This window comes from Homo sapiens, chromosome 4 (genome assembly GCF_000001405.40).
Source record: "Homo sapiens chromosome 4, GRCh38.p14 Primary Assembly".
In the NCBI taxonomy this organism is placed as follows: Eukaryota; Metazoa; Chordata; class Mammalia; order Primates; family Hominidae; genus Homo; species Homo sapiens.
Genome location: NC_000004.12, coordinates 100,965,358 through 100,978,389, shown reverse-complemented (window position 1 = coordinate 100,978,389; position 13,032 = coordinate 100,965,358). Strand labels below are relative to the sequence as shown.

Below are 13,032 nucleotides of genomic sequence, written 5' to 3'. Positions count from 1 at the left end.
AAGCTAATCAGAGTGGTAAGCATCTTTTAATAAAGAAAATGAAGAAATTTGATAGGATTTTCTTTCCTTTCTTCGTATATGCAAGCCAAGGCACACTTCTTTGCTTTCACTACCCTTACTCCTTTGAAAGCTGCAACAATTTTATAAAGGTCATCTGCCCGAGTTCTCTGAGATCCTCTTACTTTCTTACTCAATACCAAACAGTGGGGCAGAATCACCACTCCCCGAGGAACTAAATCCACAGACTGCCTTGTCCTTGATGTGTATTTCTCCTTTCCCACAGAAAAACTGATTTATTCTGGTACAGTCCTTTAAAGAGCTAAACAGCCTGCAAGTTACCTATCAGAATAATTGTGGCCAGAAGAGATGTAGCAATGGTTTCTGGCTAATTGGCAGGGTGAGCTCTGGCTTATGTAACAGTTACCTCTGGCAATTTGTCTCAATACTCTTTTGGCAGCAATGCTGTGGTATTTTTAATGGTAAGAGCTTGGCCAGTTTTCATCCAATCTGCTTTTTTATTTTGCTGGCTGCAATTAGAATTACTGTTCCTTTCACCTTGTTTCCAGCCAGACCTGGTTCTGTAAATATGTCACTGGGTGTTTGCATGGAGCTGTGTTTTGCTTCAGTGCCTTAAATCCATTATTTCACTTCAAAAATCATTTTACCTTTATACAAAGAGGGTCCATGATATATCTGACCTTAATCCCAGGTGTCAGTTGGACCTGTAGAGAGGGAGTTCAATGTTCCCAGATTTTAATGACATTTTACAATTTGGAAAGGGGATTTAGGATTGTCAATAGAGAGGAAAGCAGCCTGGCCCTCTGGTGTGGTGGATTCATTAGGAACTGCCTTATATACCTCACACCAATCATCACCTGCTTGCAGTCAGCAGCTTTCAAAGAGGCAGAATATATCCTGAAGAGGTGTAGACAGGGGAAAGGAGGTTCAGTTTTCCAGAATTCATTGTCTCCTTTTTACCTTTATCACCCCTGCCAGGATCTGTTCTGTAGTTGCCAGTATTGGCTGTAGATAAAGAACAGAGCTTCCTTCTTCACCTTTGCCAGATCTAGGAGTTTTTTTTTTTAAATGGACTTTAATTTGAAGAGAAAACCTAAGTGTATTAATGCACAAAATACACTTTTTTTTTTTCTTTTTGAGACAGGGTTTTGCTCTGTTGCCCAGGCTGGAGTGCAGTGGCGTGAACCCGGCTCACTGCAACCTCTGCCCCCTGGGCTCAAGTGATCCTCCCACCTCAGTCTCCTGAGTAGCTGGGACTACAGGTGTGTGCCACCACACCCGGCTAATTTTTCTATTTTTTTTGTAGAGAAGGGGTTTTGCTATGTTGCCCAGGCTGGACTCGAATTCCTGTGCTCAAGTGATCTGCCTGCCTCAGCCTTCCCAACTGCTGGGATTACAAGCATGAGCCACCACACCCAACCCACAAAATATACTTTAAAAATCATGAATGCTGTTTTCCCCAGAGAGAAAATGAAGATTTTGTTTGTCTTTGTTTCTCTGAGAAATTGAGACCAAGAAAATAAGGGAGAACCTTTGAATAGTATGAAAAGAGAAACTCCTCCAGGAGAGCTAGATAGGTTGATTGTGTGCTCTCTTCACCCATCAGAGTTAAGAGGCCCAGGAGTCATTTCTAAATTTTCCTCTAGCAATAAAAATTTTTCTAATTAATTGCTGTGGTTTTAATATGCCCCTCAAATTCCGTATATTAGCAACTTAATTCCAAATTTATATGTGGATTAGAGGTGGAACCGTTGGGAGGTAATTAGGATTAGATAATTAGGAAAGGTATTATGGGGCCCCCTTGATAAGACTGGTGGTTTTATAAAAACAGGAGAGACCTGAGGGGGCATGCTCTTGCGCTTTCACTATATGATGCCCTCCACCATGTTATGATGAGGTAAGAAGGCCCTCACCATATGTGGCCCCTGACCTTGAACTTACAGCCTGCAGAACTGTAAGAAGTAAATTCCTTTCTTTATAACTTACCCAGTTTGGGCCGTGTGCGGTGGCTCACGCCTGTAATCCCAGCACTTTGGGAGGCCAAGGCGGGCGGATCACGAAGTCAGAAGATCGAGACCATCCTGGCTAACACGGTGAAACCTCGTCTCTACTAAAAATACAAAAAGTTAGCCAGGCGTGGTGGCGGGCACCTGTAGTCCGGCTACTAGGGAGGCTGAGGCAGGAAAATGGTGCGAACCTGCAAGGCAGAGCTTGCAGTGAGCCGAGATCGTGCCTCTGCACTCCAGCAAGGGGGACAGAGCAAGACTCCATCTCAAAATAAAAATAAAAATAAAAGTAAAAATAAATAAATTACCTAGTTTGTGGTATTCCGTTGTGGTAACAGAAAACCAGCTACGGTAACTTTGTTGCCTAGGGTAATGTTGGGGGCAAAAAAATAAAAATAAAATAAATATTCATGCTACTACAGGTAATTTGGACCATAAAAAAAGAATAGCCTTCAGAGTGTCAAGGATATATTTTGAAAACATACGTCTAGAAGTATTTCCTATCCCAAAGAATAATAAACAGTGTATCTGCTTCTCTCCAGAATGCCTCGTTTTAATTGTGTTCCTTCTTAATATCTTAATATTACTGCCCTTTTTTTTCAGTTAGATAATAATGACATATATAAAACCGGCTAATCTCCATTTTAACAAGGAGTATCCATATTGTCCTCCTTTGTCATCAGAGGCAATTCTGAGGATTGGGAAAATGGAAAATAATGGAAGGGCCCTGGGACAGAGCAGCAGGAAATCTAACAGTTATCTTCACTCTCTTCTGTCTTTTAACCTTTGCCTAAGCCAGACTAAAGGACTGGTCAGCAGGATCACTCCAATTACTTAGCAAAGCGAATAACTTGATCCAAATCCTGCTGCAGTAGTCAACATGCTAAAGTGGAAATTTAAAAAATAAGTCTAATTGGCATCAACCTAAATGGGTATTTTTTTCTGGCACGCATGTGCAGGCAAAGTAAGCTGAAATTATAAAACCAAATAATTCATAAGCATGCCTAATGCTTTGTCTGGAACCAGTGAATATTTTATTATCCAAATTTTAACCCTTTATCATGCAAATCAAGAGGTAGATTGGCTTAGAAAATCTAAAAGGAAAATCGAGTGGAGTATGAAACCATAGAACAGTGGGAAATGTTATGTTGAATATTTTTCACTACAGTGAGTTTCCTGTGGCCAGTAAAAAATTTAATCAGTGAATCTGCACAAAATATATTGTTTGGTTAATTGCCTCCAAATAAAGAAATCTGTGTGCATCACCCAGAAAAAGAAATAGAGCGTTTTCAGAACCTCAGAAGACTTCCTGAAGCCCTCTGTCAGTCACTAACTTCCTCCTCAAAGATAATCTTTCTCTTAAATTCTAGCACCTAGGGATAGTTTTGGCTGCTCTTAGATTTTGAATAATTTTAATAATACATTATTTGTGTCTGGATTCTTTCCTTCCATATTTGTAGGATCATCCATGTTGCTGCATATAGTGGAACTGTATTCATTTTCATTGCTGTACAATATTTGATGTTTGAGTATACTTTAATTTATTTATCCATGCTACTATTGATAAACTTCTCAGTTATTTCCAGCTTAGGGATATTATGAATAGTGCTGTGAATATGAACACTTCATTTGTCTTAATTTCTCTGAGAAATTGAGAACAAGAAAATGGGAGAGAAACTTTGAGTAGCATGAAAAGAGAAATCTGCAGGAGAGCTAGATAGGTTGATTGTGTGCTCTCTTCACCCATCGGAGTTAAGAGGCCCGGGGTCTCTTATGATATAAAGGGAATTGCTGGGCTATAGGATATGCATATTTTAGATTTAGTAATCACTGCCAAGCAATTTCCCAAAATTATACCCATTTAATATTCCCACTAGAAATATATAAGTATTTCAGTTATTCTATATCCTTGCTAATATTAGGCAATGTAGACAATATTGTGTATATCCTTCCTAATATTATTATAATTATAGCCATTCTCAAATGTACTTATGGGTATCTCTTTAAGATTTTAATTGACATTCCCATGATAAGTAATGAAATTGACCACATTTTTACATGTTTGTTGGCAGTTTGAATGTCCTCTTTTGTGAAGTTTCTGTTTGAGTCCCTTGTTCCTTTCTATAAATTTTTCTGTATTAAAAAATGATTTATAGAGTTTATATATATATTCTGGATACAAGGCCAGAATCAGTCTTGCCTGGAATTTATTTTGTGGGAAAGTCTGAAATATAGATTTGCTTTATTTAACGGGTAGAGGACCAGGCAGATTTTCAATATTTTTCTGTTGTCAATTTGGTATAGATTGTGTTTTTCTGGAAATTTATCCATTTCATCTCTATTGTAAAATTTGTTGGCATAAAGTTGTTTATAATAACCTCCTATAATCTAATAAATGCCTGTAGGGTTCATAATGATTTTTTAAATTCTTGGAATTGATAATTTCTGACTTTAATATTCATCAATTTTTGCCAAAGTCTTATTAATTTTATTAATGTTTTCAGACAACCAATATTTGAATTTGTTGATCTTCTCTATTATATATTTGTGTTTCATTAATTAATTCGGTTTTCTTTCTTTTTTTTTTTTTTTTTTGAGACGGAGTCTTGCTCTGTCACCCAGGCTGGAGTGCAATGGTGTGATCTCGGCTCACTGCAACCTCTGGTTCCCCAGTTCAAGCGATTCTCCTGCCTCAGCCTCCTGAGTCGCTGGGACTACAGGCATACACCACCACGCCCAGCTAATTTTTTTGTATTTTTAGTAGAGACGGGGTTTCACCATGCTGTTCAGGCTGGCCTCAAACTCCTGACCTCAAGTGATCTGCCTGCCTTAGCTTCCCAAAGTGCTGGGATTACAGGCTTGAGCCACTGCGCCCGGTTCATTTTTTATCTTAATTATTTTCTTTGAACTAATTTCATTGAATGACTTTGCTTTTTAGAAAACTTTAGAAGGGTACATAGATCACTAATTTTTTCTTCTTTTTTTAAAAAAATATATACAGTTAAGGCTTAGCATTTCTTTCTTAGTGTGACTTCATTTACAGCCCACTATGTTGTATTTTTATCTTCATTTTGTTTAAGGTATTTTGTAATTTCCACTGTAATATTTTTCTGACTATTAAAAAGAATACTTTTGACTTTATTTTAACATTTGAAGATCTTATAGATTTTTTGAGATTATTATTTTCTAATTTAATTCTAATGTGGCTTTAAGAATATACTGTGTGTTTTTAATTCTTTGAAATTTGTAGAGAATTGATTATTATGTCCCCGCTTATTGTCATTTTTGGTAAATATTTCATATGCACTTGAAAAGATTGTCCTGCAGTCATGGGGTGAAGCCTTTTTTTTTAAGGGCAGGATTTTCAAATTGTTTCTTTGTAAATTCATTACTGACGTAGTACACAGAATGTAGGATGAATTTAGTAAATATTAACTAAGTGAAAAAAAGTACTGCTCAGCCAGTAAAAAATTATTGGCTAATCTTCTGGAATATATGATTTCTGCAATTATATATCTCTGAAACTAATTTGTATGTGCATAATTCAGAATCTGCAGGTCAAATTGCATTTTATCAGATGGTGCTATGAAAAGTTTTTAAACCCAGGCAAATGAAAAAAAATCTGCTTTTCTGTGAATGTAGTTTCCAGTGATTTCTTTTCAGGTACTGAAATCAGGGCAGTTAGCTGCTTTGCATCCTATTCAGTCTCTGTGTATGCAAGAAAGAGAAAGCATGTACGTTACATTAATTGTACCATGTCCATGCTTTCAACTGGACTTTCTGAATGAAGATAATTGCAGAATTCACAGCATATTTTGTTGATTCCACAGCTGATATAATAAAAGGGAAAACTTACCAAATATGCATTATGTTGAGAAACATAGACATATAGATGGTTATATGTTGTGCAAATATGTATTCAGGCACATCTCAACTTAATATACATTGTGTTTGTAAGTTTTAAAAATTTAATAGTTATCATAATATTCTTTTTTGTAAGTATAACATAAACAATTATTGCTTGGCCAGATCAGCATTCAACAACCTATTTAATTTATAATATGACTGAAAAATTATACATATGTAATAAAAGATCATACAGAAAATGTAATTGCCACACCAGGAATTAACTACATTGAAAATAATACTAAAATTTAATTTATTTTTATTATTAAATATAGATTCTTGAGAAAACTTTTTAAAAATAGTGACAGAAATGCAAAGCTTTGTTGAAATTTGTTAAGGAACTTCTGGAACTGTTAAAGGAATTTATATTTTCAGAGTGCTGGTTTTTCATTGTTTCCAATTTTATATCAAAATTATGGGTTTTCTTTTCTTGATAGAGTGCCATCTCTTATCTACGTTTATCAGCCATGGTTGGATTGATATTTTGTTTGCTAATGGGAAATGAGAAAAGTAAAAAGAAAAGTGGGTTTTTCCTTTCTTTTCTTTTCTTCTTTTTTGAGATGGAGTCTCGCTCTGTCACCCAGGCTGGAGTGCAGTGGCGCCATCTCTGCTCACTGCAAGCTCCGCCTTCCGGGTTCACCCCATTCTCCTGCCTCAGCCTCCTGAGTAGCTGGGATTACAGGCGCCTGCCACCACGTCTGGCTAATTTTTTGAATTTTTAGTAGAGATGGGGTTTCACCATGTTAGCCAGGATGGTCTCGATCTCCTGACCTTGTGATCCACTGGCCTCGGCCTCCCAAAGTGCTGGGATTACAGGCTTAAGCCACCGCCCCCGGCCTGAAAAGTGGGTTTTTCCTAAGTAGCCAGCACAAAAAGTAAGTATGCATTTCGGAAAGAAATTAGTGAAGGGTTAGTGAAACTTGGGATGTGTAGATGGGGTTGAAAACCCAGAACCTGAAAAATCTTACCAGGAGAGGAGGCAGCAAGAAGGGAGCTGCCGATGTGAAGATTCCATGCTTATAATTTGGAAAGTACACAGGAACCATCTATAGAACACCCTCTTGATTATTCTCAAAGAGAGTATCTACGGTGTGGTCAACTCCTGACAAACCTTGCTTTTAAATTTATTGCCCTTGCCTTCTGTGCCTGCGTGCTTGATAATATATGTCTCTATTAATGTTGCATAGCTGTATTTTTTCCCTTCATTCACATTTCATGACTTTATGTTTACATGTTATGCAGAGAAAAATCTTTGAAACTACTCCCCTTTTCAGGATTCTTTAAAAACTGAAGATGCAAAACCCTAATAGCTCTAAGTAAGTTAATTATAAGATTGAGTTAGATTACCCTGGAAAAAGACAAAATTAGGAAATTGAACAGCTTTTCGACTTCTCTAGTTGACTTTCCCACGGTAATGTCAACTGATGCTGGGTGGGGCATATCCACAGAGTCAGAGAAAGGAGCCACATAGTTGACTCAATGCTCCAAGTAAGAATATATATTGTCAAGGGGCTAGACTTAATAGAGAGCGCCCAGAGTTATGAGACAGGAGTGGAAACTAGTTAATGACTGAGATTATGAGTTTGGGATGGAAAATTGTCAGGGATTTCTGGGCCCTGAAGCACATAGTAACTGTATAGCAAGGACTTATTCAGCCATTTCTGCTATTCCTTCCAGGAGTATCCACCACTACCTCTCTGTTCCTGGTCTTGATTGGAATTCTTTCTGTTACAGCTGACTAGAAAGGCTGGGATGAATGAGTATGGATGGTGGGGTTTCATTCCAGACTCACATTTTCCTGCGGAAGGAGGTAAGGGAGAGCGCTTGCACACAGATCCATCTCTCCTTGCCTGCCAGCAACTGTGGTAGGTGGCAATCTCAATGTTTATGCCATCTTGATGGTGAGAACCTTTCAGTAGTCATAAAAATGTTGCATAAAATCTTTTTTTTTCTGTATGGTACGAACTGATATCCTCACATCTCTCTTATTTTCTTTGAGTTGAATATAAGAATATTGAACACACCTATATTCAAACCTAAATATTAGCATAGGAATATATTTAAGGCTGAAAATAAAGAAATTTTTTGAATCATCAAATCATTTGGAATTATCTGTAGTGTCTTCCTTATCTCAGCATAAATAGCAGGATATGAATATATGTGTTATATATGTGGGTCTATTTTTATGTACCTTCTTCTTCTCTGATGCTGGCAAAAACTCTCAAAATATTGCTTTGGAGTTGTTCTTTTGATTTTATCCCCAGAGCATTTATTCAAGAGAATAAATTTGGCCATTTTAAAGCTGTGAGAATATGGAATGCATAAATTTTCCTGCTATAAAATACTTTTTTAGTGTATTTATGTAACTCAAAACAGATGCATCTACAAAGTTTACACATAGAAACACAGACTACTGAAGGAAGACAGTCAGGTCTGGCTTGGAAAAGATTTTGGTATTTTTACCCTACAAACATTTCCAATGTATAAAATTGGTACTAAAGACTTGGATCCAATGGTTGGGCTCTAGGGAGATTCCTATAAAATGGCACAAGATGAGCATCTGACTACACAGCATTTCAGCTTTAGGTCTGCAATTTTAGGAACAGCCATTTTTTTAAAATTTTTTATTTATTTATTTTTTTTGAGATGGAGTTTCACTCTTGTGGCCCAGGCTGCAGTGCAATGGTGTGATCTCAGCTCACCACAACCTCTGCCTCATGGATTCAAGTGATTCTCCTGCCTCAGCCTCCTGAGTAGCTGGGATTACAGGCATGCGCCACCATGCCCTGCTAATTTTGTATTTTTAATAGAGACGGGGTTTCTCCATGTTGGTCAGGCTGGTCTCGAACTCCCGACCTCAGGTGATCCACCTGCCTCGGCCTCCCAAAATGCTGAGATTACAGGCGTGAGCCACTGCGCCCGGCACAGCCATGTTTATTCTTAGACGTGATTGGAGACAAGTCAAAGGTTGTTTCTGCAAGATTTTTCTGAATAGTGGTAGTATGGTCTAGTCTGAAATTTCACTAAGTTTAAAAGTTGAATTTCTCTGGCACTTGATCAAATCAGCAATCTAGTAATCCTTATTGGCTTTTAAAATGGAAATGGGCCTTTTACAAAAGGTTTCTGGAGTCTAGAATTTAATATGTAGACCACCTGTGAAATGGATTCTCTGTATGATGCAGTTACAGAAAGGAAATCTCAGTGTTGGTCTGTGGATTGAGGTGTCAAGGTGGTTGAGCAGCTTTCTCCGAGTAAGCACCACCCCATTGGTATAAAACTTGTATCCTTTTGCCTTCTGAGAAGGGGGAAGTTCAGAAAACAGAGGCAGAGGTGGGAAGGGACCAGTCGATGCTTTGGCTCTAGCAATATCAGGAAGTATTTAAGGATGTATGTGGTTCCTGTTAAGGAATAAAACACATCTGATCCTTGATACTAATTGCCCAAAACTTCGTTTCTATCTTCATTAAATAAATTGTCATAAGGTGTGCCTGGACCACCAGTGGATAATAAATTTCTTTTCTTTTTTTTTTTTTTTTTTTGAGATGGACTCTCGCTCTGTCGCCCAGGCTGGAGTGCAGTGGCAGGATCTCGTCTCACTGCAAGCTCCGCCTCCCAGGTTCATGCCATTCTCCTGCCTCAGCCTCCCGAGTAGCTGGGACTACAGACGTCCGCCACCATGCCGGGCTAATTTTTTTGTATTTTTAGTAGAGGCGGGGTTTCACCATGTTAGCCAGGATGGTCTTGATCTCGTGATCCACACGCCTCGGCCTCCCAAAGTGCTGAGATTACAGGCGGGAGCCACCGCGCCCGGCGGATAAATTTCTTTAAAATAGATTTGGGCTCAATTTTTCATTCCATAAATATTTGTTGAAATATTACTTTGTGGAAGGCACTCATCAGTGCTACTTGACAGGGGATTTGTGCCCCCCTTCAATTAGTAGGATTGAAAATTCTCATTTCTTTTATTAAAACATCATTTTTTAATTTAAAAATCTGATAAATTGAAATAATCACTTTTAAGGGGCTTTAATATTTTAAATAATATTATGCATTTAAGACGTTTAATTCCTTTAAATATTTCAATTATTTGAGTAACAAACATTTACAAAGTACTTAAGATGTTCTTTATTACAACTCTAACAATGCAGACTTATAGATATAGTCATGGGTCACTTAACTACAAAGATGTTTTGAGAAATGCATTGTTACGCAATTGCATTGTTGTGTGAACATGATAGAGTGTACTTACACAAACCTAGGTGGTAGAGCCTACTACACACCCAGGCTATATGGTATAGCCTGTTGCTCCTAGGCTACAAAATTGTCTAGCATATTACTGTACTGAATATTACAGGCAATTCTAACAAATAGTATCTGTGTATCTAAACATCTCTAAACATAGAAAGGGTATAATGAAAATATGCTATTGTAATCTTATGGAACCACCATTGTCTATGTAATCCGTCATTGACTAAAATGTCATATGGTGCATGTATCTTAAAGTACAGTATATCTTAAATATGTGATAAGATATTTTTATACTTTTCAATTTAGAATCACAAGTGTAAATGAGTAATCAGACATTTAAATTGTAGTCACAACTCAAATGTGCCAAATTATCTGAAACATTCCAAATATCTGAAGTAGAAACGTACAGAGAATTGCTTAATTTAATGCAAAAGTATTACTACCATGGATTTAATTTACTTCATTGTTTCTAACTTTAATTCTCAGTCTTCCCAGGGTCAAAGCATTTTACCCACAGATTAATTTTTTTGTTGTTGTTTCCTAAGCAATTTGTTATTTATCCCAAGCAAACTGGTGTCTTTTCAAGGGCAAAGCATTTGACTAAGATCTGTAGCCGCTGACATTCAGGGTGATTTTTCTCAAGATCGTAGGAGACAAATCAGAGCCTTCCAAATGGTAGATTGAATGTGAGGATAGATAACAATAATAAATACTATTTTTGGTATGAGCAATTCAGTAGAGAGTGGTATAATTTACAAAATGAAAAAAGATGGGGAATAAAAGCAGATTTGAGAGAGAAAACTAGAGCTTCATTTTAAATTTCTTCACACTGAGGGGCCACTTTGAAACGAATTTGTTAGAAAGCTGAATGTAAGTTTCCAGGTAGAAGGCTGGGCTTGAAATTTAAGTTTGTGAGTCACAGAAGCACAGATGTTGTTAAAAATCTATGGAACTAGTCTGGGTGCAGTGGCTCACATATGTAATCCCAGCACTTTGTGAGGCTGAGGCGAGAGGATCACTTGAGCTCAGGAGTTTGAGACCTGCCTGGGCAACAGGGTGAAACCCCATCTCCGTAAAAAATACAAAAATTAGCCAGGTGTGGTGGCACATGTCTGTAGTTTCAGCTACTCCCGAGGCTGAAGTGGGAGGGTTGCCTGAGCCCAGGGACAAGAACAAGCTGCTGAAAGCTGAGACAGAACAATGATGCAGGAAGGAAACATCAATGACAGTGTGAGAGGGCATGAAAACAGAGAAGAGAATGCATCAAGGAGAGAAAATTTCCAAAAGGAAATGGAAGGTGAAAAAAAAAAATCACAGAGGTGGGGCACGGTGGCTCATACCTGTAATCCCAGCACTTTGGGAGGTAGAGACAAGCAGATGACCTGAGGTCAGGAGTCTGAGACCAGCCTGGACAACATGGTGAAACCCCGTCTCTATTAAAAGCACAAAAATTAGCTGGGCATGGTGGCAGGCGCCTGTAATCCCAGCTACTTGGGAGGCTGAGGCAGGAGAGTCGCTTGAACCCAGGAGGCAGAGGTTGTGGTGAGCTGAGATCACGCCATTTCTCTCCAGCCTGGGCGACAATAGAGAGACTCTGTCTCAAAAAACAAAAACAAAAACAAAAAACAAAACAAAAAAATCACAGAGATGAAAGCCACATTTTAACAATTTAAATAAAAGAAAATGTAAATGTAAATGTAAATGGAGGTTATCTAGGGTTGGCTTGAGGAAATTGCACAGAGTGAAAGAGAAAAACCCAAAAAGATGTGGAAATAATTTCAGAAAAAGGAATAGATGTGGATGACAGAGATAAAAGAGAGCAAAAGAGGTCAACACATATGGAATAACAACAAAAGAAATGTCTAAAGATACGAATAGTGAAAATTTTATCTAGCATAAAGAACAACTTGAATCTGCAGATGCCTGAGCAAAATTAATACAAGGCTGACAACAGGATTTTAGATCTAGTTAAATTATTGAATTTCAAAGGTAATGCAAGGACCCTTATAGGGTTGTGAAGCAACAGGTTGTGTGCCTGATATATAAGCACTAGATAAATGCTGCTTCAACTCTTGCTTTTTCTCCTTTCCCTCCTATTGTTGTTACTGTGATTGTTATTCTCCTCTCTTCCACCAATTAAATGTTGTTATTGTTCATGACTGGGGCTTCAGCCCTCTCTCTTCCAGTATATTCTCCCTCCTGAGGCAATCTATTCTGCACCTGAAATTTCAGTTGTTCTCTGCTTTCTAGTGACTCCTAGAGTTACATCACTATTTGGATGTCAAAAACTACCTCAAACTCAAATAATCAAGATATATTTCATTCTTTCCTCTCCTTTGGTGATTCCTCTACTGTTTGTCCAGAAAGCTAAGCACACTTCCAGTATTGCCAATTTGTAGGAATGGTACCAGTGCTTCCCAGGGGCAGAGGTCAAATGCTTAGGAGTCGTCCTTGACCTCTCCTTCTATCTAAGCCAATGATTGCATCTGCTCCTGGCCCTACCGTATGTTCTTCATGCAATGGCCAGAATGACCCTTACAGATATAAGCCAGATTATTAAATTCTGCAAACAATCTTCCAATGCCTTTGAATTTCACATAGGGCCATGGTCTATGCTCCCTACTATTTCTGTGACCTCATTTCCAATGTTCTCCTCTTGCTGTATTATCCCACAGCAACCACAGTAGTATCTTTTCCTCTTCTAAATTACACAGAGACTGTCGCTTCAGGTAACTTCTGCTTAGAAATCACTCTTCACAGCTGTCCAGATGCTGCTATCCTTTGCTTCATTTAGTCTCTGCTCAAATGTTACCTTATTGCCAGTTCTCTCTCTGTTCCCCTAGTCCTTTGCTTT

At 38.0% G+C, this 13,032-nt stretch overlaps 1 annotated feature.

The window, feature by feature from the left end:
- Window positions 11,455–11,955: an enhancer, noted in NCBI's record as "H3K27ac hESC enhancer chr4:101887592-101888092 (GRCh37/hg19 assembly coordinates)". NCBI's record gives its function as "activates a minimal SCP1, AML or CMV promoter by ChIP-STARR-seq in primed H9 embryonic stem cells {active_cell/tissue: H9 hESC(primed)}" and the evidence as "EXISTENCE:reporter gene assay evidence [ECO:0000049][PMID:30033119]".